This window comes from Homo sapiens, chromosome 5 (genome assembly GCF_000001405.40).
Source record: "Homo sapiens chromosome 5, GRCh38.p14 Primary Assembly".
Lineage (NCBI taxonomy): Eukaryota > Metazoa > Chordata > Mammalia > Primates > Hominidae > Homo > Homo sapiens.
The window spans coordinates 161,792,308-161,818,997 of record NC_000005.10 but is presented as its reverse complement, the minus strand read 5'-3'; the positions used below and the strand labels follow the sequence as shown (position 1 = coordinate 161,818,997).

The 26,690-nt window shown below is 35.3% G+C and overlaps 1 long non-coding RNA gene across 2 annotated transcripts in view; it reads left to right on the top strand.

Moving 5' to 3' along the window:
* The window catches only part of LOC105377696 (uncharacterized), a 41,745-nt gene extending 31,596 nt beyond the window's left edge, over window positions 1-10,149 (top strand). The window contains exons 1-2 of one of the 2 annotated variants that reach the window (XR_941157.3): window positions 4,164-4,280; window positions 9,799-10,149. This is a non-coding gene — a long non-coding RNA (uncharacterized LOC105377696). Of the gene's footprint in view, window positions 1-4,163; window positions 4,281-9,798 lie in introns of those variants that run through there. The other variant, XR_941158.4, reaches the window with a different exon arrangement.
* Window positions 10,150-26,690: the final 16,541 nt, after the last annotated feature.

The window sequence follows — 26,690 nt, the reverse complement described above, 5'->3', positions numbered from 1 at the left end:
GGTAACATATTCCATAAGTCATGGACCAATTAATTTTAGGATTCATGCGACAATCTCTGAATGTTAGAAATATGGATCTCTTCAGCCGAGGAGCATCTCAGACAAAGTCACAGTCTCTGGAACACTATCATGAGTTATATAGATACCATTTAGACTCTCTATTTATTCTTTCCTTGAGTGAGGAGGATAGAGTATGTCTCTTATTATTCAAAATGAATCTTGACTATGACCTCCAGTCTGCCCAATGTATTGGGTGTTGTGTAGTCTAAACATTTAGACGACTAAAATTTTGAATGAAAGCTACTGATATTTTGTTGGACTACAAGTGCAGTTTTAACTCCTGTTTCTGAAATTATTCCATTAACATTCAATAAATTTGTATGGCATTAAGATACAGAAATCAAATTTACTTTTCCTAAGCTTTCCTACTTTGAAAGTTTAGCATTATTGGTTTGTTTTTAGAACATAATCTATTGGCAAATTTTGTGTATTAACAGTTTTACTATGACACACTGTGAATAGGAAAAATTTACATTATTGTGATTCTGACCAAATAATTCAAAACTTTATGCAATTTATGAAAGGTAAAGGAAAGGACCATATATTACTGTGCTTTAGCAGGACAAGACATTTATTTTAAAAATAGTCTTAATTCTGATTTTTCTCCCACAGGGTCGTTCTATAGTTTTCATATACTTGATGGGAAATTGATTTAGTATCATAGGATTGATGATAAAAAAGAAGCATTATTGGGATTCCATCTCATATTGCTTTCTACACCAAAACAAGTATATAAAAAACGGAAACATGTTTGCCCTCCATGAAACACCTTTCAATATCATTTCACATGGCTTTTCCTTAATGGGTATTTGTCAAATATCTCAGGAGAAAGAAGACTAAGTGTGACTCTGCAAGTGTGAACATATTTTTAAAAGTTTTAAACCACAAGGAACGATAGTTTCTCCAAAAATGATAATTACTGACTTTGCAGAAAAGCCAATGACAGTGGTATGGAACACTGTTAGTTAGACTCAGGGTTACTGACAGATTCAACTGTATCAGTTCTTTACTGTGAATCATATGAGCTTGCTCATCCCACTCTACCACCCCACTGCAAATATACTTGCTGCCCTTTCTGGTATTATGATAAATAATTTCTACAGATATCTAAGTGCTATTTCTATACTTAGGTGTGAAACCAACATCTTTAGATTGAGTTTGATTCTAGACCTAAGGGCATGAGTGCCATCTGCTGAATTATTGCTTACGCTTCCTATATCTCTCCTAGATTAAAATTTAGGAACTTTGAAACCTGGAATAATATCATAGGGTACTTCAGTATTCCATAAAACTCAAAGGTATGATAAATCACTGATATCTTTTCAGTTGTACCCTTAAGCTATTAAATGCCTTATTTAACAGTTGTTTCATTAAATTTTCAATTTTGTAGGGTATTTTTTACACAGTATTCTCAGACCATTTCTAAATAACTCTAAATTATATATAAGTAAACAATATGCCAAGGAATCTTGTAAGAAATCACACGTTTTAATTTTGTTGTTGTTTTGCCTGTTTTTAAGTCATGGTTGCTTTTTCAAATGATAGATACAACATACACTCAAAACCAAAAACAGTGAAAAGTTTACAATCCTAAAATATGGGAGGAAAATGTAATGATAATCTCACTTTTCAACTATGTCTGACATTAATATTTTCTGACTATCTTTAATTTTATTTTCAATAGAAAAATAAATAACTATCCACACAAAAAATCTCTTTTCCTTTTCATAAATGCTTTAAAATAATGAGCCCTTTTGGAAATACAGAACTGGTTTAGTAAACAAGTAATCTGGCTCTAAAGTTAACTCAATATCTCATAAACTAGATGAAATTATATTTGGGATTTGTAGCAATTTGACAATATATTTTATTTAACTAATATTTTTATGTCTCTGAATTTTGAGCACACTATTAGAACTGCAGTCTTTCAAATATGTTAGTTACTATCATTTGAATGACAGATTCATAATTTTTCAAGTGTATGAATTTATTTGATTAAAAAGTGTTTCCATTTAATTTTTCTTTCAAATAGTATTTTCAATTCAATTTCATAGATAAAGTCCAACCTCATGCCAAGGCAGATACAAATTATTGGGTATAAAACATTGTCTTCTTTTCTGTAAGCCTGTAATATTGTAGATGAGGCCAGATATATGTAGACAAAGCAGTAAAATAATATGAATTGCTTAGATTCAGTGAAAAAATAAATAAGCAAAACACAAACCTGGTTGCTCCCTTTATCTGCAGCATTACCTGCTGTGTATTGCTGAGAGTAGGAATGAAAATTTTCTTGTATGGAGTCAGTGATAATCTCAAAAGAAAAGCCATTATTCACATAATTTGTAATTCTATGGCTCCGTATGTCACACTTGATTCCTACGTGGAAAGAAATTAGGAAAAGAAAATGTAATCTTGCAATACAGATGTTGGTTACTATTAAGGATCTGAAGCTGGATTTAAGACAAGTGGATGAGGCTGGGCGCAGTGGCTCACGCCTGTAATCCCAGCACTTTGGGAGGCCGAGGTGGGCAAATCACGAGGTCAGGAGATTGAGACCATCCTGGCTAACAAGGTGAAAACCCGTCTCTACTAAAAATACAAAAAAAAAAAAAAAAAAAAAAGCTGGGCATGGTGGCACGTGCCTGTAGTCCCAGATACTTGGGAGGCTGAGGCAGGGGAATTGCTTGAACTCGGGAGGCGGAGGTTGCAGTGAGCCTAGATCGCACCACTGCACTCAAGCGTGGGCAACAGAGGGAGACTCCGGCTCAAAAACAAAAAGACAAGCAGATGAAAATGAAGGAAGGATGCAGGTACATTACAGTTAAGAACCCACTTAAATGTACACCACTGCATATTCTGGGCCTACTGTCAGTGTAGGTGCTCAAAAATGTCTGCTGAATGAGTTAATGAGTGACGTTTATAATTTATTCGAACACTAAAAAAAATGGATATATAACATTCATGTATATTATTTGTATTGAGCTGATGAAATTTTACCCTAAATGTCTGTGCCTAGAGAACATGAGTTCTCAGTGCCTACAGACATAGCTAAAGGTCAACCCAAGAGTCAATGACTATTTATCTGAAGGTCTCAGAACTTGGATTTTTTTTTTATGTGAAAAGATGACTTAAATGCTGTTTCATACTATGGATTTTTTTTCCAGTTTTAAATAAAAAGTTTTAAACGAAATAATTTTTCCCAAGAAAGCCACCATGTGGGGAGGAAGCGGGTGGGATGAATTCAGAAACTGAACCAAATTGAAGCCTCCTAATAAATGTGCTAATATTTCCTGAGGAAAACCTTTCCAGCTCTAATTCTTTTTGTCACAGTAGACTTAAAGGATTTTTTTAAATTTAAAATTTATTATTACAATCTCTAAATAACTCAAATAATCCCCTTTGTTATTGCTACCACATGCTATTTCTGCTATGGTTAAATTATTTTTTAAGCATGAGAAGAAAAAAATACAAAATTATAATGTTAAGTTCATATAGTTAAGAAAAACTGCATAAAAATTTCTTTTTAATAATTTTTCCCTGAAGTGGATTTTTAAATATTATTTTATCTAAAAGTTTTTCATACTACATACACTTCACCTTGCAAGTTCCTTATGTTTGACCAAGATCATGTTAGTAATCAAGAGCTTCCTTTAAAAAAGATGACTTTTGTTGAAAAAAAGGAAAGCTAAATTCTGAATTGAAAATAATATCTAATAGTAAATAGTTGCTAACAAATGATGTCAGAATTCTGTACTGCATTTAACTATTCCTATAACTTAGGGAATGGCACTTCCTCCCTCTGAACTTCAGTTTCCTGATCAGTAATTTTATTGAACTAGAAATGATCTATAAAATATTTTCTATCTTTTACGTCCAGTAGCCCTAACAGTTTACTTAAACCGAATAACCTTCCTGACTTTAAATCGCATTACATCAATTTTAGCTCTTGCCACCCTTTCCCACCCTCCAAACTTTAAGTCAGAATTAATTACTCCCACAGCACACTGATAACACCTCTCTAATAGCACTTATGGTCTCCTGCCTTATTTAGCAAGTTGTTTGCATCACAGCAGCTACTTGTGACCACAGAGACTGTGTACTATAGGCACAGTTTCATGAATTACCATGGAGAGAGCAACTGTATGAAAGATCCCTGTGGGAAGCTGGCTAAGTACAGTCACACACAGCCTGGATTTTCAAGTGGTTTTCTACCATAGACTGTAAGTTGCTGGAGGATAAAAAGACTCTTCTGTTTATCTTGAAGATAACACAAAGACTAGCAAAATGTTTTTTGCATAGTGGGCTTTCACTCAATATGTACATACGTACATGATGATTAATAAATGAGTGATAAGTGAAATGCATAATCTTTTATTTGGCAATTAATTCCTACTCAGATTTAAAGTGGCTAACAAACTCATGCATCAGGTTTGATAGCTGAAATAGATAATGTGTTTTTGAAAACAAGTTTTATGAATTTGTGCCCTCTTCCAGTAAATGCATGCAGTTAAACACAGATGGGAGGGAGGGTGAGAAAGGAAAGAAAAAAGAAAATAAAAGAAAAAAAAAGAAAAGAAAAGAGAGAATGGGAAAGAAAGAAAGAAGGAAAGAAAGAAAGAAAGAGAAAGAAAGAAAGAAAAGAAAGAAAGAAAGAAAGTCATGAACTCTGAGACAGCAATGCTGTTGTTTTTCTCAGAATGTCATTTTTTGTTGTTTGATTTTCTCTTTCCTGTTTTAGATGTTTTTGGTGAAAGACTGACTGAAACTGGGTAATACTCTATTGTAATTTCCTTTGTATTCTCTTAAAGTGTAAAAAAATTCCTTTGTTACTGGAAAATATTTTGAAAGGAAGAATATCCTTTAAGCTAAAACATATCTTGCAAAAATGAAATTTTGAGACTTAGGGAGCTGATGCCCAAATCGATGATAAAGTATTCAGTTTAAAATTAATGCAGCCAACTTAATTTTAAAATAATTGCTTAAATCTGGGAATAGAATATTATAAGTATTCAGACAGGTATTCTGGGTTGTTGCTGCTATTAGAGTCCTTGATCATGGTAGTTTTCTAAAATCAATCTAAGCTGTATATAGCTGTATTTATCTATTGATAAAAAAAAATCTTGCACTAATAGCATTCACTCAACAAATGTGTATATTTTCCTACTATGTGTAAGGCAGTGCTCTAGGTGCTAGTTAGCACCAGTGAAACAGCAGCTCCAAATCTCTGCTCTCGTGGAGCTTTCATCCTAGTGGAAGGCAATCACACAAATGATATAAAAATTATATTCCACCTTGTAAAGTGTTAAGTGCTAGAAAGAAAAATAATGCCAGATGGGGGGATACAAAATGCAGATAATAAGATGAGGTTTTAAATAAAGTGATCACATCTAAGTCCCTCCTGAGAAGATGACATCTGAGCAACATCTTGACATAAGTGAGGAAGAAATTCCTGTGGGGGGCTCAGCGCAGTGGCTCATGCCTGTAGTTCCAGCACTTTGGGAGGCAGAGGCGGGCAGATAACTTGAAGTCTGGAATTCAAGATCAACCTGGCCAATGTGTCGAAACACAGTCTGTACCAAAAATACAAAAATTAGCCAGGCATGGTGGTGTGTGCCTGTAATCCCAGCTACTCGGGAGGCTGAGGCACGAGAATCACTTGAACCCGGGAGACAGAGGTTGCAGTGAGCCAAGATCGCCAGTGTACTGTATCAGCCTGAGTGACAGAGCAACACTCTGTCAAAAAAAAAAAAAAAGAAAGTTCCATTGAAGTTTGAGGGATGTTCCAGGTGGAAGGAACAGCATGGGCAATGTTCTAATACACATTGAGGAATGAGAGACTCAGATTCTTTCAAACAAGGAATTAAAAAAAAATTCTCAAGATTCTCACACGTTGCATAAATATGAATGAGGCATATGTCCTTCTATCTCCAAATTTTGTGTTGAAATGCCACAGGAACAGAGAACATTTACTTTCTAATTACACCCATCAGTTAAGCAACAAAGCTAGAATTAAGCCCACAGAACCTAGGTTAGAGACAAAGCCATGTAAATCTGAATAGGACCAAAAAGATTTTGGTTTTAAAACTCCCTCCATTCATATACATAAAATAAAATCTCACAGTATTTGACCTACGTAGAAACCAACCACAGACATCAAATTTGATTCCATATTTTTTTCTTGACACTGTTCCAAATGTAGTATCTCTGCTTGAAAAATAAAGCAGATTGTCATGATGTTATCCCTATAATACAAGCAAACAAAAAATCCATTAAGTCTGAGTTGTCAAGATAACTTAGCCAAGTCCTTGCCTTGGCAGGTGTTATGCTCTATAAAACGAACAAACGTAAGTTTTTGTTTGCTCCTGTATCTTCTCGTTATAACATCTGATAAAGAATGAACTATATATGTCTAATCCAGGTTAGTAAATATCCCTAAAGAGGCTCCAGGTTCCCGGATCACCCTGTTCTGTTAAGACGAAATTTAGAGCCTGCTTACAAGCTCTCAGGGAAACCCCCTTTCTTGGTAATTTTGGAATGCATCTCCCTCTCACTTTTCCCTTAGTCCCTTCAGACTCTGATTCTTCAGGTAAGCATTGAAATCTACCCCTTGAAAAGTCATTCACGATGAAATGATGAAGTGCTTCAAATAGTATATCTTCTAAGGATTTATATTTTTTAAAGAGGTCAAAGCTCAAAGTAGGAATTAAAATTTCTTGGATATTAGCGAACAGTTTCAGGAGAAGTTTGCAGGGTAGAGGCTTTGTTCTAGCCAGCTATGAGGCAAGCTAGCTTCACCACCTGACTATTATATTTTCTACCCTAGACTCTTAACAAAAGCCAACTCTCTGGACAAAAGCAACACAAATTCACATATTTACAGTTAGACAGAAGGAACAAGTTCAAGAAGTCTATTGTACGGCATGGTGACTATAGTTAATATCAGTATATTGTATTATTGAAAAATGCTAGGAGGATAGATGTGAAGTGTTCTCACCACAAAAGTGATTAACTGTGTGAGATAATACATATGCTAATTAGCTAGGTTTCATCATTCCACACTGTATATATACTTCAAAACATCATGTTGTTCATGTAACTACATACAATTTTATATGTCAATTTTAAAAATAAATGAATTTGAGGGGAAAAAAGCAACACAATTTATTTCCAAATCCCATGCTGTTTTGTTTCCCTTTTATCACAGACACCTAAAAAAAAAAGAATGAGGATATCAGAATCTCCTAGGAAAGACATGGATAAATATATTTGGACCAATCATATGATATAATATTATAAAAATATTTAAAATTAAACTTTACAATAACTTATGTTAGCAAGAGAAAATGTCCAAGATACAAGGATAAGTGAAGAACTGTGATATAATGTGGTATGTCTTTGTAAATACTTATGTATCTGGATATGAACAAATACATGGGAATATACCAACAGATACAAACAGATGCATAAAGGAAATAAAACAAAATGTTATCTCCAGCAGAGTAATTATGGGTAACTTTTTGGGGTAATTCTTTATACTCTTCATTTTCCAAAATTACATAGTTCACAATTTTAATTTTCCAATTAAAGACAAAGATCTTTTGAAATGACATGTTGTGTTATCCACATCATTGCTTTGCTTTTGCCCTCAACAGAGAACAAAATGTGTGGGTTAAATAGGAGCATCTCTTAAATGCATAAATCCCTCAAAGGGGAACAGGAAAATTTTACTATTACATAGTTTCTTTCCAGCCTCTATGACATCAGCCAGAGAGATGCTCAAGGAGTTGAGGTCAAGAAGCACGTGCTACTGTGCATAGATTCATCGCCAAGGGCATAATTCAAAGGACACTCAGCCTGGTGAACATGGCACACAGATGTCCTGTTTTCTTAGACTGTTTACAACATTTAAATGCACTTGGCAGTCTAAGCACATAGTTTCTTTCTGAAGGAGCTTTTCTGCTGAAGGTTATGTCGTGCTTTCCACTAAAACATAAATCCGTTGGCTGTTTGTTAAGCCTCCTGTACAATGAAATCAAAGCAATCGTCAATGGATATGGTTCACTGGAAAATGTAAACTGGCTTCCCCACCCCAAGAGAAATAGATTAAGCAAAGCTAGAGGTATTGCACGTGCTCTCTACAGACAACATCTCACTTTGTAGAGAAAAATTTTACTGCAATGCTTCCCATTGCACCTGCCAACTCCTTCTCTTATCCTGAAAACATAAATTCCCATTACACATGGAAGAATGAGTAATGTCTCTAAAGTGCCCAGAATATGTTTGTAATAATTGATATTTCACCCTCCGGTGCCAGGGCTGCATGGATGGAGTGCTTTATGTTGAAGGCTCAGGAATGTGCTTTTGTCCCTTTGGTATTCTGCCCAGACGAAGCATGCCCACAATCAGCACAGTCTAATGCAATCCAAACACTTAAGAGGAAGCATCCTACAAAACACAGGAGTGCCAGAGGCTTGCATAATGTATCCAAGATATCAAAATTTTCTTTAGAGAGATGAAAATATAATACAGCAAACACCTATTTAGGGGGAGAACAAAACCTTCAGTTTTTCTAAGGAAGTCAAGTATGTATTCATAGGGGTTGCCTGGCATGGAATTTAGACTAAAGCTTATCACACCTCTAAACTTCCTTTGCTTAAATCAATTATGAACATTTATTATTCTAAACTGCTTCTGCTTTTTACCCAAGCTATCTCCATGACTGTATTTTAAAACAGAAATAAGTTTGATTACTCATTTTTTAAATAAAATACTTCCATATAGCCTTTCCGTTATCTTTGGCAAAACAATTGTAAAATAGATATATTTTCATTTAGGTAGTTTTACCATGATTAATCATATCGCCTTCATGACAAAAGAGAATGAAGGAGAGATATGAAAGTAAAAATGAAAGAACGACTCTTAAATAAAATGAAGGCTGGTATGTTAAAAAATCAAGTGTTGGCCAGGCGCAGTGGCTCACACCTGTAATCCCAACACTTTGGGAGGCCAAGGTGGGTGAATCATGAGGTCAGGAGATCAGGTGCATCCTGGCTAACATGGTGAAACCCGTCTCTACTGAAAACACAAAAAATAGCCGGGCGTTGTGGCGGGTGCCTGTAGTACCAGCTACTCGGGAGGCTGAGGCGGGAGAATCGCTGGAACCCGGGAGGTGGAGCTTGCAGGGAGCCGAGATCGTGCCATTGCACTACAGTCTGGGCGACACAGCAAGACTCCGTTTCAAAAAGAAAGAAAGAAAGAAAGAAAGAAAGAAAGAAAGAAAGAAAGAAAGAAAGAAAGAAAAATCAAGTGTCTTTCAAATACTGGGAGTTTATTAGGGATTAATACTTTTATAATCACATGACTGTCTTCTATTATTTTATGAATCTAATTTTATTATTGTGAATAATTGTATTTAGTGATTTAACCTTTTCTTCGATATTCTTGACTTCAAAAAATAAAGTATACGCATTTAAGAACAGAAATTAATATCTACTTTTGGGTAACTATAAAAACGCACAGTTGATGACCAATTAGTTATTGTACATTATTTTTTAATTATTTGAAAAATAGCTAGCATTTTTCTACTACCTATGCTTTCTTATCTTATCTATTACTTCTTATCCTCACGCCTTCACACTAGAATAGTTTTGCCAAATCCGGGAATGAATAATTGATGGAAGCCATACTCTAATACAGCATCAATTGAAAATCAAAATGCCTATATTTCATCCTTTATAGGTATCTCCATTTGTTATGCTTGGAAAGTGAGAAAGCATTCAACTGGCAAAGGAAGTGAACAAAAACAAGATCAAGAATAAACATGACTTAATTAAAATCATAATGAGGTATCATCTTACCCCAGTCAGAATGTCTCTTATTAAAAAAAAAAAAATGAAAACAAAAACAGATGCTGGCGAGGATGCAGAGAATGGAGAAATCTTACACACCGTTGGCTGGAATGTAAAGCAGTACAACATTTATGGAAAACAGCATGAAGATTTCTCTAAGAACTAAAAGAACTACCCTTTGATCCAACAATCTACTAATGGGTATGTACCCAAAGGAAAATAAATCGTTGTATCAAAAATATACCTTTACACATATGTGTATTTCAGGCTATTCACAAGAGAAAAGTAATGCAATTAACCTATGTTTCCATAAACAAGAGATTGGATAAAGAAAATGTGACATATATATATATATATATGTATATATATATACACACACACACACACACACACACACACACACAATGAAATACTGTTCAGCCATAAAACAATAAAATCACATCTTCTACAGCAACATGAATGGAACTGGAAGTCATTATCTTAAGTGAAACAAATCATACACAGAAAGAGAATTACTGCAAGTTCTTACATAAGTGGGAACTAAATATTGTGTACACGTGAACGTAGAGAGTAGAATGTCAGGCAATGGATACTTGAAAGGATGAGGGGGTGGATGATGAGAAATTACGTTATTTGTACAATGTATGTTATTTGAGTGTTGAATACCCTAAAGGTTGTGACATTATCACTATGTGTCTATGCATTCAACAAAATTACACTGGTCCCTCATAAATTAACACAATATTTTTCAAAAGAAAAAAATACATATGACTTGTTATGTGTTTATTATGGTTCTTTCTCTCATAGTGAAACATATTTTATTTCTACCACCAAGAGTCTTTCCAGCTTTCTAACTGCAAGAACTTGCCTCCTCACAAGTGTTTTCAAATAGTGCCATGTAGAAGTAAAACTATTTGGGAATGGGGTGATTTATCTGAAACATAGTTGAAACCACTTTCTTGAATTCTACTTTCAAGATCAATCCCTACCCAGGTTCTAGTATTAATGCTGTCTCTGGTGAATGTTAGTACAGTATATCACACATGTCCCTCAACACCAACATGTCTCTGCTTCCAGCTCTCATCTCACCTAATACTTGTCCCATTCTCAATGAGTCTTCCCAGGCTACTTGTCTATGCCTGAGTAAATACTCAACTAATTTACCAATCAAGACATGTATGCCATGCTATGCAATCTAATTCTTCAATTTCTAGCCTCTGAGAGAGGGCATTGCCCAGTACACAATGCTAAACTGGGAACTAGAAAAATAGAGACGCGCTATCAGAGATAGGATGGGCATTAATTTGTAACCATGGAAGATGATTTGAAACACTATGGCTTACATTTTATACCAAAAAAGTGTCCCCTATGAGAGGCTGAATATTGCAATGGCAGAATTTGAGAACAAGTGTCAGATGATATTAGGACTGGTTTTATCCACCATGAATTTCAAGAATTAGATGCTTAATTATTAATATTTTCAAAACCACTATGAGATACCATCTCACACTAGTCAAAATGGCTATGATTAAAAAGTTAAAGAACAGCAGATGCTGGTGAGGCTGTGGAGAAAAGGGACACACTGTGGGTAGGAATGTAAATTAGTCCAGCCACTGTGGAAAGCAATTTGGAGATTTTTCAAAGAACTAAGAACAGAGCTACCATCCCACCCAGCAATCTCACTACTGGGTATATACTCAAAGCAAAGTAGATTATTATATTAAAGAGATATGTGCATTCATTTGTTCATTGCCAAGCTATTCACAATGGCAAACATATGGAATCAACCTAGGGGCCCATCAGTGGTGGACTGGATAAATAAAATGTGATACATATACTCCACAGAATACTATGCATCCACAAAGAGAGAATGAAATCATTTCCTTTGTAGCAACATGGATGGAGCTGGAGGACATAATCCTAAGACAACTAACAGAGGAACAGAAAAACAAATACTGCATGTTCTCACTCACAGTAGCACAACATTTAGCATGCACAGACATAAACATGAGAACAATAGACACTGTGGTCTATCAGAGGCATGAAGGGAGAGGGACAAGGGTAAAAAAACAACCTACTGGGTACTATGCTCACTACCTGAGTGCAGTATACCCAGGTAAAAAACAAAACAAACAAACCTGTATCCGCTTTATCTAAAATAAAAGTTGATAATAAAAAGATTTGGGGAAGGATATAAAATATCTTGACAAATAATTACCTTTTTGCATTTTGCACCATTGACCCTTATGAAATAGCAATGTTATTGACACTAGGCCAGCAGTGCAAACCACTATAGGAACTTCCATCCCGTAGAGTTCAACCAGAAGTCTGGTTTTTGCTTAAGTCTATATTTTATAAAATTTGATGCATAAAGCTAGTATTACGTGAAAAATTACTCCTTCTATAAGTAATTTAAAATTTTAATAGTATTTATTTTGAATTACTCTAACTACCATAACTGATGACAGCTTTGGGCTTTTACCTTCATTTATTTACTCTTTCATTCATTTTCTTTATTCACTGCACAAATATTGGTTAAGCACTTACATGTGTCAGATTTTTGCTAGTCACTGGTTACATAAAAATGACAAAGTAAGTGAAGTTTCTACTCTCAGAATCCTACCAGTCTAGTGGCAGAAACAGACATTAATCAAATAATCATAGAAAATATATGGTTGAAAATTTTTCTGAGTCATATGAATACTAATAATTAACATTTACTGAGGACTTGTTCTGTGCCAGAAACTGGTGGAAAAATTATCTTCCACGTAACTGGTGCCTGGTGCCGAAAAAGCTGGGGACTGCTGTTCTATAGCTTCTGCACTAGAATCTACTAATAAGTAAAATCTAATTTAACAACTAGTTTTAAAAACATAACAAGAATATGTGCTGGCTGGGTGCAGTGGTTCATGCCTGTATTCTCAGCACTTTGGGAGGCCGAGGGGGGCGGATCATTTGAGGTCAGGAGTTCAAGACTAGCCTGGCCAGTATGGTGAAACCCCATCTCTACTGAAAACACAAAAATTAGCCGGGCATGGTAGCACATGCCTGTCCTGTAGTCTCAGCTATTCAGGAGGCTGACGTGGGAGAACTGCTTGAACCCGGGAGGCAGAGGTTTCAGTGAGCCAAGATCGTGCCACTGCACTCCAGCCTGAGCAACAGAGTGACTCCATCTCAAAAACAAAACGAAACAAAAAGAATACGTGCTGACAAAAAAAATTCTGAAAGATAATAAAATTGTATTACTAGACTGTTCACATGATATTTTGTTTCCCATTAAATGTGTGACATACAAAGATATTTATTAAATGAAAATATTTTTGTATCTTAAAAAAAATACTTGAACAGTATTAACTCATTTAACCCTTACCATCATCCTATGAAAGTATTCTATAGTATTATACAATCTTACAAGTAAAGTCATTGAGGCTAGGGGAGATTGAATAATGTGGTCTAAGAATGCGAAGTACCAAGTGGCAGAGTGGACATTGACTACAGGAAGTTGAACTTTACAGCCTATCTAATAGTACCATGTCATCTTTCCTTGCATGTTAAAACAAAGCATGCTATGACACTGCATTAGTCAGCTTTCACTACAGTATGCTGAATTAACAAACATACTCAATATTTTAGTGGCTTATAATAATAAAGGCTTATTTATTTATTACTCATGTTAATGTCCTGTACAGGTCCAGCCGCAATTCCGCTCCATGTCTTTTTCTTGCTGGATCCAGGCTAAAAGAGCATCTCCTACCTTAGCTATCCCACCCTTAAAGGTTTATGTATATGACATCATCGCTTCCACTAGCATTTTATTGTACAAAGCAAGGCTCAAGGTAAAACTGGGCAACAATGGAGTAGGAAATATATTCCATCTATAGGAAAAGACACCACAGAGGTGTCCTACCCAAATGATCCCAAAAAGCAGGTCATATTTTAAGCAAATAAAACAGTATGCTTCAGAATGGACATATGAAAGGGGTCCCTGACCTGGCCTGGGAGTCAATGAAAGCCTGAGGTAGCACTGTCTCAGTAGAGTTTTCAGGGATGATGTTTAGTTAACTAAAAACTGTGTTCCACAGAAAACATACCATGTGGTAGAAACAGCAGGTACAAACGTCATGTGATACAAGTGAGCCTGGTCTTGGAGAATTGAAAGGAATCACCTGAAATAAAGACAGAGAAAGGGAGACTGTCCTGAGACAAATCTACAGAAGTCAGCAGGGGCAAGATTATTCAGACCCCTGTAGGCTTCCTTAAGAATTTGGATATTTTTCCTAATGGGGAGCCACTAAATTATTTTAAGCAAAGGGAGTATGGTAATCACGCCTTGGTAATTTTGGCTGTTTTCCAAAAAAAAAAAAAAAAAAATCATTCTAAGTAAGATTCTCTAACTTAGATATCTCCCCAACCTCCCAGATCTTAATAGTATTGTTTTAATGGTTTTGGAAGAGAAAATTTATTTATATTTTCTATTGAGTTACCCCTAGCAGAGTTCACTATCAGAACCACCCAAATACAGTGATTCAGAGCAGAGGCAGTAACTTTCTCCCTCTCTCTCACAAGGAACACTTTCTACCCTATCCTCTTTAGCTAAGGCTCAGGTTTCCCCAGTCACAGCAATCCTGTACTCCCCTCTCACCTTCCTGATGGGATTAAAAGAGAGCCAACAGCGACATGGCAAGTCTGTGCTGAGACCTTTTTCCCTAAATAGTAAGGAATGGAGCTCAGCAAGGTAAGAAGTTGTTGTAAAGAGTTGCAGCAATTTGGGATTGGGAATATGTGCAAATTACTCTAAGTGGAGAGTTCCATTTGGAAAAGGTGCAGGCAGCATCCACTTCAGATATTTTCAGCAGAAATAAATGCCACCACCTTTTTGTCATAGCTAACATCATTACACTCTGATGTAAACTCAGGTCTTCCTTTGGCATCCTATGTAGAATTGTGCCAACTCCAAAAAGGTGGACACCATATCCTAGCTAGGATTTCTGCCACTGATAATGTAGAGCAGTCTTCTCAATCGTTGCCTTCAACTTCCAGATGTTGGTCAATTAAGAGAAAACAAACAAACAAAAGAAAAAGCACCCACCATATGTTTCACTCGTCCGATACCTGGAAAAGCTATTAGTTTATACTTATATCTGCTGTGGAAAGTTGTATTTGTTAGGGTAATGCCGTTTACGTAAGTGCTAAACATCCAAATTCCAAACTACACTCCATATTAAGTGATCACAAGTGGTCCAGTGTGGCAGATCACCATCAAAATGGTCATTTGGAAACCATCATCATTTCAACTTTTGTGTCTATTATTCTCTGGAGTCCTCTCAGTCATCTACTAGAGGAGGAAAAGGCATGGAAGAATTCACAATGGAAGGATTTTATGGAGCAGGTATGGAAGGGGTGCATATCAGCTTTGGCTCACAATCCACATCCAATGAGCTACAACCCAGCCATATGGTCAAACCAAAATAATAGAACCACTGGGAAATACAGTATAACAGTGAGTACAGGAAATAGAAGAAACTGACTTGGAGAACAACAGCTAACCAGTGTTTACTATTTCATTGTCTCTATTAAATCTTAAAATTGAGGGATAAAATAGTAAATTTTATGTTGCATACACATTATCAAAATAAAAAAAATGTTGGTGGAATAGGAACTGTAGATACAATGAATTTCTGGATCATTAAAATTTACTAAAAAGGAACCTCTGGGTTGTCCCAGCTCTTATTGTTGAAAATGAAACTTAATTAGTCCATTTTCCTGACTTTTTCAGTACAACATGGTTTGTAATTTCTGGCATCCAGATTGATAGTTCAGCAGCTGATTAAAACTTTCACTCATCAAAGAAAGAAATAATCATTATCTAGTATTGAAATGGTGAAGATGTAAAATATTTAATTCTGAGAATTTTTAATAGATTATATGCTGAAACCTGGATAAAACCTGCAATTGTGTAACATAAGTAACGATGATTGCCAATATTTTAAAAATCGGAATTAGTTCTTTAATTATAATTGGATATTAAGCAATCATTTACTTGAGAATATTACAAATTTTAAGTGGTTAGATTCAATTAATCAAAATTTCAACTTTCCCACTTTCTTACCACAATATTGACAATCAACCCTAAATTGGATCTTCTCTGAACTATGATCCCAAATACTTTTCCTTGAGAATCACTTAAAGTTATACTAATTTTTAGTGGTTCATGGTTTTTCCCCAACATCTATGTATGTATGTATGAATGTATGTATAAATCTATGTATGTATGTATGTATCTATCTATCTGTCTATCTATCTATCTATCTATCTATCTATCTATCTATCTATCTATCTATCTATCATCTATCTATCATCTATCTATCATCTATCAATCAAGACAGGGTCTCACTCTGTTGCCCAGGTTGCAGTGCTAAGGCCCAATCTTGGCTTACTGCAGCTTTGACATCCTGGGTTCAGGCGATCCTCCCACTTCAGCCTCCTGAGTACCTGGGACTACAGGCATGCACCACCATGCCAGACTAATTTTTGTGTTTTTTGTAGAGACGGGGTTTCGCCATGTTTCCCAGGCGCATTCAAACTCCTGGGCTCAAGCAATCTACACACCATGGCCTTCCAAAACATTGGGAGTACAGGTATGAGCCACCATGCCCAGCCCATTTATTTCTTTTTCCAACAACTATTTACTAAGTACCTATTATGTTCAGGCACTATATCAGACAATGGGAAAACAGAGATAAACAAATGAGCAAACCCTTGACATTGTGAAGTTTATATTCTATAGGAGCAAATAATATTACACAAGAAAAAACACACAGTTAATTAACAAATGTAGAAGATTTGTTACAAAGAGCACAGCCTGGAGTAACGTTTTAGAATTAGGGAAACAGCCATGGTGTATGTGGTCAGTAGCAGTTAATTGTAAAAAGGAAAGTGGATTGAACAAAGCATTTTAGGCATGGCTGCTACAAATACTCTGGTAAGGAAAATGAGAACAATTGAAAAACATGATAAGGAAGAGAGAAAAGAGACATAGAATAATCCTGGGGAAGTAGGTATGGTCAAATTAAGCATGGGCTTAAAAAACTAAAGGATTTTAGACTTGTTCCTGAAAACAGTGTGGAGCAGGACATAAGTTATAATTTGGAAAAAATGACATTGGTTGTTCTTTATCTAATACACGGAAGGATATCAGCCAAGAAGCTGTTACTTTACAAAACTAAATGCTAAAATTTCACTAGCAAAGACGGAAAGGAGAAAAGGAAGGGGGTAGTAAATTTATGATTATAGAAAATAATATAGGAAGCAGATATAGAAAAGCAGAGGAAACATGTGAATGATTACAATATAAAGGTCTCTATGCCTGCTTCACCTCTCCTCTGTTTAATCCTTGATTGTTATCTTTTCTCCAGTGCTAATTTGCTTTTAGAAACCAGCTATTTGGCTTTTACCTTTTCATTTCTTCTCCTGTTCCCTGTTACAATACACATATGAATAACTCAGTTTTCCATGGATCTAAGGTCTCCAATCTAGTGCTCCCAAAAGTCACTTACTCAATTCACTTTATTATGTCCAGCATGTACCAGAAATTGTGCTAGGTTATGGAGATAAGTAATGAAAAAGATAGACAGGATTTCTCCACTCATAGATTTTATATTCTAATAGGTCTCCAAGAGGCATGCTGTACTAGGATAATTTTTATCCAATGGAGTGTTATGTTTTTCTACATTTTATTCTTGGCCACACTCATGGCATTTGAAATGTACAAAGTATACATGGATAAGATTCACCAAATGGGGCTGGCCACCGTGGCTCACACCTGTAATCTCAGCCCTTTGGGAGGCCGAGGCGGGCAGATCACAAGGTCAGGAGTTCAAGACCAGCCTGGCCAATATGGTGAAACCCCATCTCTAATAAAAATACAAAAATTAGCCAGGCATGGCAGCATGCACCTGTAGTCTCAGCTACCCGGGAGGCTGAGGTAGGAGAATTGCTTGAACCTGGGAGGTGGAGGTTGCGGTGAGCCAAGATCACGCCAGTGCACTCCAGCCTGGGCAAGACAGCAAGACTCTGTCTCAAAAAAAAAAAAAAAAAAAAAAAAGAAGAAGAAGAAAGAAAAAAGATTCACCAAATGCTTTGGGCATGTTGACTATGGTGGCAAGTTGCAGGGGTTTGTATATTTGAACAGGTAGGAAAGAAAATTCATTTTGTCAATCAGAAATGCCATATAAAACTACTAAATCTTAACTCTATGGAATTTTAAAAACATATAACTGCCATTTTGAATAAAAATTCACTCTCATATTGTCATCTTGGGTTAAAGCATTGAGTTGCCAGACTCATCTATTTCTCATCACTATTTATTTCCTCTATGTTCAAACTCTTCACCCTCAGAAGCATTCTCAATCTATATTTTCAGTCCACAATGAAGTTTCTTACATCTATTGTAGTCTTCATCCCATCATCAAATTCTTGAGACAGTAGCTGATATTTCCACTATCTAAATATCACTATTCTCTAGTTCATCTAGTACAATCTGGCTTATTCCTCCTCAAAAAGCTAATGTAAATGGTTCGGGTCAGCAATGGTCCATAATTACAAAGTCTACTGGGCAATTTTAGTCCTGATATTTTATTTTTATTTCTCCAAATGAGAAAAATTTGTCAATGCTGAGTATATTTTAAGCTGTCATGGTGGGGCATTGGAAAATTTTTTAATTAGCAATAATTGCACTTTGGATAAACTTCATTGGTTGTGACACTGCCCTGTGCAAAGTTTAGCTCTCATTTGTCTTGCTCTCTCTGCTGTGTTTGACAAAGTTGATCACTTCCTATCTTTGAGCTTCTGAAACACTAACTCTCTTCCTTAGTGACACTGCACTGATATTTTAGAAACAATGATTCTGTCCCTTTAATAGTTCCTTTGTCCTGTATAATTTTTAAGACATTTATTCTTGTCAGTGTTCCATTTCATATCTTATATTCTTTCCTTTTATACTCTCTCCAGTTGATATTTTTGAATATGATTTATATTCTATGTATTTGGTTTTGACTTTCAAATTTCTTATCTACTTTAATTTTTTATTTAAACATATGTACATATTTTGGGGGTACATGTAATAATTTAATATATTCATAGAACTCATAAGTATCAAATCAGTGTAATTTAGATATCTATTACCTTAAATATGCCTTTCTTTATGTTAGAAACACTCAAATTATTCTCTTCTACCTATTTCAAAATATGTGATAGATTATTGTAAACTATAGTCATCCTACTGATCTGTCAAACATTAGGTGATTTTCTTCTCAAATTGACTCTGAAATTTTTTTCACCAGTTTCAACTTCCCCACAAGCGTTCCAAATTTATACACACACCATATCTTTTGATCACTGAAAACTTAATAAAGTTCAAACTGCCCCCAGATGGCTCTGTATTATGTTCACAGATTCACCATCTACTAATAAACCCATTGAAAAAGACTCAGCTCTCCATTCTCTAGCATCCACATCTAATTGGTCGATAAGCATCATTGATTTTATCTCCTGAATATCGCCAAGTCTCTTCACTGCTTTCCAGGGACTCAGCGTTATCAGCACCTCTTCATCTTTCCCTAGATAGTTCCAACAACCTCTAATTTGCCTCTGCCTTCAGTGTCTTGTTCTTTCTCTCACAATAAATTCCAAGCTATTTGACATAGAGACACTTTACTATCTGGCCAAATCTATCTCTTTTTTCTCTTCTCCAGCCATGGGCTTACTCAGTTACTGTTTGCTTTCTAATAAGAGTTTCTGTATTAACACTTAGAGAAATGTCATTTTCTCTAGGAAGATGCTCTTGCTTGTCTCTAGTGGCAGTTACTCATTTCTTCCTTTCAACACCCATAGCTCTGTGTGTATTCTTCTTCTATGTGACTTTTTGCAATGCAATGGTTTTTTCCTATTTCCTACCTTGTAATTTGGAGGTGTGGAAAAACATTTTATTCATATTTGCATCCTCACTACCTTAGCACTGCCTAGGGTTAGCCTGCATATCTAATATTTGAGATTGAAAAATATAAACAAATTAATTAATTAATTAAAATTATTAGGATTGTATTGATGGTCTGGGGTCTAACACATTCCATGATACAAATTTTAAGACAATTTTGATTATGTAGTTAGCCTACATAAGTTACAAATTCTAAAAGTAAATTTGAAAGCAACTTCAAAATAATAAACATTCTCAATGAAGTCTAGACTTCAGTATTGCAAGCACTATCAATGCCTTCTTTTACTATTTAGAAATTCCTTCTTTGTACTTTATAGAAATAGTCTAGTTACTAGATAAGGTCATTAGCCTCATGCTAGGGATAATTACTGAAGATGAAATAACAGCATCTTTCACTTTTGCCAAAAGTAAATACAAACTTTTATAAAAGCAATTTGACAATATATTTTGATGGTCTTTAAAAAGTTCATGAAAGTTTATTCAAAAATTTATTTCTAGGAATCTATACTAAGAATCTAATGAGAGTGCATAGAAATATTAAGGTAAAATGATATTTACTACTTTGTTATTGTGTCTACAAGTCTGATGGTAGGAGATTTGCAGGTAAGTATATAAAGATGGGATGCATTCATAAGACAGACCATTATACAGTCATTTAAACTGATGTTTTCTGAGGGAGTAAGTAATATACATAAGCAACCAGAAAAAGAGAGATCTATAAAAATAAGTAAAGTGTGAACCTACATCTCTTTTTAAAAATTTTATATGCTGTTGGAATTATATAAATAAAATCAGACTGGAAGAAAATATACAAGTACATATAATGAAATATAGAGATAAACATATATTGATTTTATAATTTGAAAAAATAGCCAATAAGGAAGTGTTTGCACCGTATCTATTTTGTGCCTGTTCACTTTCCCACGAACTCTTCAGAAAGGCTGTCAGTTTACAACCCTGCTGAAAGGTTAGTATGTTACATGACTCTGAGCCATACATTGCCCTAGATGTAGCCTACAGAGGGTGGCTGGCTACTTACTGCTTGAACAGAAAATAGAAGCTTAGTAAAAAAGATATTTTAGTTTGCATTTTAAAAATAGGATATTGAAGGTGTTGATCAGTGAAACTTTGGAACAAAGTACCATTACTATATTTTAAAAAGAGGCAGCCGGGTGCAGTGGCTCACGCCTGTAATCCCAGAACTTTAGGAGGCCGAAGCGGGTGGATTGCTTGAGCTCAGGAGTTCAAGACCAGCTTGAGCAACATGGCGAAACCCTGTCTCCACTAAAATAACAATCAGTAGCTGGGCTTGGTGGCACACTCCTGTAATCCCAACTACTTGGGAGGCTGAGGCAGGAGAATTGCTTGAACCCGGGAGGCAGAGGCTACAGTGAGCCAAGATCACGACACTGCACTCCAGCCTGGGTGACAGAGTGAGACCCTGTCTCAAATAAACTGATAAAGAAAGAGGCAAAAGAACACAAGGAGGGAGAAGGAATCTCTAGCCATGATATATTCAGAGCATGAAGAAGCCGAATTAGTAATTTGTCAGTGTGAGAGAGGATGACTGGGCATGAGTAGTAGGGCTAGAGAGAGAACTGACTCTGTTTCTACGATTCCCAGACGAATAGTGGTCTCTGTAACTCAATCCCCTTGAAATACACCTCCCATTATAGCAAATTCTCTCCTATTTATTTGAGATTACTTAAGTATTTCACTATTCCTTGCAACCAAATAACCCTAAGTAAAATAAGTAATAGTTCATATAGGTAGGATACAGGAGTATGATCATTTAAACATTTAGTGAGTCCTTGTTTCTATTCATTTTAACTGTTATTAATTTTTAACTGTTATTAATTTCACTTGTTACATAGGACTTTTGCCCTTCCTTATAGAGCACTTAGAATTTGATCTTGATATACAACTATTTTTATTCTGTCACCCCCAGGAAAAGACAAGGTCAATACCATTCTTCACTGCTCTTAATTTCGTTCCTTTATTTATTCGGTCAATAAATATTCATTAAGGGACTACTGTTTTCCAGGGCCAAACATGGTGCTAGACTCTGAGGATACAATAATTGACAAGACAGTCATTGTCCTTGATCACATGAGACTCACAGTCCATTGAAGGGAAGTAAATTCCAGGCGTTGACATTAGATAAGGGATAAATTAAATGTTCACTTAGTTGGGAAAGTTAGATATTTAATTAGTTCAAAGTTGGTTTCATAATATTTTATCTAAAATGAATTCCTAGGAAGAAATTCTGTCTCAATTAGATCTTTTCCTCCTTTTTCAGAGGCAAGGTCTCACTTTGCTGCTCAGGCTGGGCTGGCCTCAAGGGATGCTCTTACCTCAGCCTCCCAAATAGCTAGGACCGCAGGTGTGTACTGCTATGACTGGCTTCAGCTGGATCTTTGTGCCTTTTGAATAAAGCATTTCACCACACTCATTTTCCTTTTTTTCACTGCCAATGAATTATTATTTTGCTGTACATGAGAACCAGAGAAATATGGTGCCTGAAACTTTGTCAACAACTGTTTACAGTATGCATTTTAAGCTCACAGGACCAGGCACACATTGCTGTTCCTTACAGTAGTTTCATATAAATGTTTATAAGATGCAGATAACCTAGGATTGTATTTTACATTTGGTTTTAGTATGGCAATGAGTGTCATTTTAAAAATTTTTACTTGAGCATCTTCCAAATTTTGAGAAGTTTTTAACTCAAGCATCCTTCAAATTTAAGAGAAAGGCTTGATAAATACAAAAAGTGATTCACATCTCTAGGAGATTGGTTAGATATTGTGGTATATTTGAACTATAGCCTACTATAAAGCAATTAAAAATAATAAGGTAGAGTTGTATGCAATGGCACAAAAAGTGTTCAAGATATGTTATCATGTTTATATATACAGAGAGACACAGGAAAAGAGAAAGAACTATTTATTTGTATGTGTGTAGTGAACATGATAAATTGTCTACTTATCATCCATACCTTTCTTTCTCCTTCTTGATCATCCAAATCATCTTGAGGAATTCACATTTCTTCATGTATCACATGCCTCCGTAGAAAGTAGTCTCACCCAAAATTCTCCAAACCCATCTTCCTTGACAGTGATTGGTTCAGGAAAGTGCCCCAATATAGGCCTATGTGTTATAAAAAGAAGTTTCTTGGGGACCTTCTAGGAAAGTTCTTTCCCTTCTGGGATAGTTTATTAAAGCAACCCTCTCTTTCTCAGGATGTTGCTGTATGGGACTGTAAGACAGAGAACTGCTGAAACCATCCTGCTAATAGCTCAATTCGCAGGGGAGGCAGAGATTAACAGAAAATCACGAGGAGACATAGTCCAAGGCACTGAATTAGTTTATCCTCGAAGGCTACTTTTATGTAAACTTTTAGATAAAATGAGCTGATGAATCTTCTTAGTGCACAAGTTGGCTTCTTTAACATATTTAGCTTGTTGCAGCCAAAGTCTTTCTGAGGATTTGTATGTGGATATATATATGTATGGCCACATCAATTCATTAAAGGAAGATTGGAAGAATATACCCGAATTAAGAAAGAAAACATGGAAAAAGTGGGATTGGGATAAAATAAGAGAGTTCTTTACTTTTTATTCAATATACTTCTTTCTGAACACTTAGTAGAGATGTATTGTTTTGTGTTTAAATGTGTTTTAAAAAATGGAAGTATTAGAAAAAAGTTTTTTCAATAGTATACTCTTTCGCTATTTCCTTAGAAAACTACATTGTCATATCTTAATTTCTAGGAAAATCACTGGTGAACCCACCAGAGATTTCATTGATAAATATTTTATTAAGAAGTTTCAAAACTTATCAGCATAGTGTATTGGAAAGGAAACACCAGTTGTCAGGAGACTTGCCTCAGGTAAAGCATAGAGCAATTCTGGACCTCATTCCCATCATTGGTAGAGATACAAGAATGAATCCAAACATTTATTCTACTGAAACCCCAGCCTTCTCTGGATCTTGCGACTCTAACTTATATCCACAGATAAAAGACTTTATGTTGAATACTGTTAAAAGCAAGGAAAAAGACTAGATGAATTGCTAATGTTCGTGAACTGCTATATCTTGTGGCAGCTGAAAAATGACTAGTTAAAGCACCTTTATCTAATCACCTTTGCTTCACTAATTCCTTTCTTCTCAGGTTAATGTCTCACAATTGCCATTAAAATAGACTGTTCAAAAGGAATTGAATGGTTTGGCCATTAATTTATTTTTCTATTGTTTTGTATTTTCATCTCTATACTGATATTTTCTTCCATCAGCTCAAAAGTATGCTCACTTTATTCCTAAACCTTAACCCATTTTTTTCCTATTTTATTCCAAGGTCTTGAATAAAAGAGAGTCATGGAATTGACAAATTTAACCCTGTGGTAATCAAAAAACAGTTACATTCTTATCATGTTTTTACTCAGGGTAAGTTCAGCTAAAAATATTAATAAACAAATCAACATATTCCAATTATATTTTATCCTCATATGTCATTTCGTCATACATAAATAAATGCACTTGCAGTTGGTTAATTATCAAATAATTTCAGACTATAATGTAATTAACTTCTTTCTTGGCCATTTATTCTTAATTTATGTACAAATAATTGTTGCTAACTATTTCTTACAAGATAGTATTTTATAATCTTCAAATGTCTATTTGATATACATTTTCTTAGAAATTAAAAATTATCTAAAACATGTTCCAGAGAAATATAGTCTCCAATGTACAGATAATGAACTGAGAGTCTTCAGATGTTAATTATTTTTCCTAATTAGTTACCTAATTATATGGCCAGTCAGTCCCAGATTCTATAATAAAACGAGATTCACTCAGTACTCTGGTTTATTTTCCCTCACTTTGGCCTTATAATTCCTAAAGGACTATTCAATTTATTTTCTGGAAGGACAAATATGAAGTTAAAATATGTCCAGACATTTCCAAGTATTAATAAAATGTGCTCCAGGTGGGAAAATATAACTCTTCCAGTTTCCAATATTTCTGAATCCACAATTACCACCTGTCTCTCGTGTCAGTGGTATTGCCAAGGCAGTAAGATGATAGGAACAGAATATAATATCTGGATTCCACCAAAGTTTCCAGATAATACAAACTTGTTACATGCAGTGGTGAGAGAGATTGATAGAAAGATACCATAGATACAGGGAAATGATCAGATGTTCTTTCATGTGGGTGAGATAACAACCTGGCTCACACAAAGCACACATAGATCACAGGAACGCTGCATCTCTGTCTGCAGGGAAAACTGCCCAGATGCTCAAGTGTCCAATATGGTTCCCACTTGCCAAAGAACGAAGAGATTCATGTAAAGCTTCTGTCTTCTTCAAGAAGCTTGGTCTTGTCATTATCATGTTGATTGGCATGGAATAAAGGAGGATTACACTCTCCTGGATCTTCACAGTGTCTTTTTAGACACTTACAGAAATGCTCATTGGGGCAAATTATTGAGAACCACTAGTATAACTATGATTCATGAATTTCCGGGTGAATCATGAATTTCTAAAGCATTGCATCCTCAGTAGGCTGAGGTCTTCCCTCTGCATATTAAACAGATTTATATCTCTTGGCTTTCACTACTACTAGAAGCATATAACAATGCAGTTAGGACTTTCAAAGTAGGTATGAAATTTAAGGACTGTACTGTGTACTACTCTATTTCCTAAGTAGGTAAAAATAGCCATCTGTCTTTTTACTAAGTCAGTAAAAATAGCCACCTGACAGGCAACTAAGGAAATAGTTTGTGCTAGTCTCTCTCTTAAATAGAAATTTCACTTAACCAGCTTCCAATTTGCAGTGTTGGGCAAGGTATCTGTGCCTATGACTATATAAATCTATGTTCACCTATAAAGACTCCTGAAAATACAGATTCTCAATCTCTGTTTGCTCTCTTGGTTTTGATGGGTGTCAGTAGGAGTAGACTTTTAAACACCATGTTCTATGTGGAGGAAATTCCTAAATAGTAATGCTATGTGCAATGCTAATTCTTTTGAAAGGTTAAAAAAAAACCTCAATGTGCCTTATATAACATGATCTATTTATACTCTGTCACTAAGGAGAGTCAGCTGCATTTATGTTCAGAGCGAACAGAACAATTCATTTGCACCTTATCATCCAATTGATGACTACCGATTTACCTAACTGACTGACAGAACAGGGTTAGGCAATGATAATTTGTCCGATGGATTAAAATGTTTAGAACTGAAACTCTCAACAATATTTAACATAATAAATCATTGAGCATAGAAGTTTTAGCCCCAGAATGTCTGAATCTTCCTCAAATATCAATTACAATATAAAGTTCCACCACAGGATATTATACAGTTACTAAGAAACTATTGCAGTCTCAATCCCAAATTAGATGCTTTCAAACCCTCTTCATTATTTCTAGCACCTGGTAGTGACTAGCAACACCCATGTGAGTTTTTTAACCAATAAGATATTCTTTAACAACAAAGCACATTTTTTAATTGAGAGCATAATATAAAACTTGGGGTGGTGCTGGGGGTTGAGGGATAGATTCTGGATTACATAGATTCTGAAAACAAAATATGACTTCAAAAGACTATTAAATATGATTCCATTCTTTATGTGTTGAAACCACAAAAATATATCAAATGCTACTATGTTTACAGTCCCCTCTTCGCTTGACTTCTATTTAATCACTGTATCTGTATTTACTACTTCTTTTGTGTTTAGCATATAATGTCTTCGTTTTAATGTTCCTCATAATAGACAGCTTACTGTAT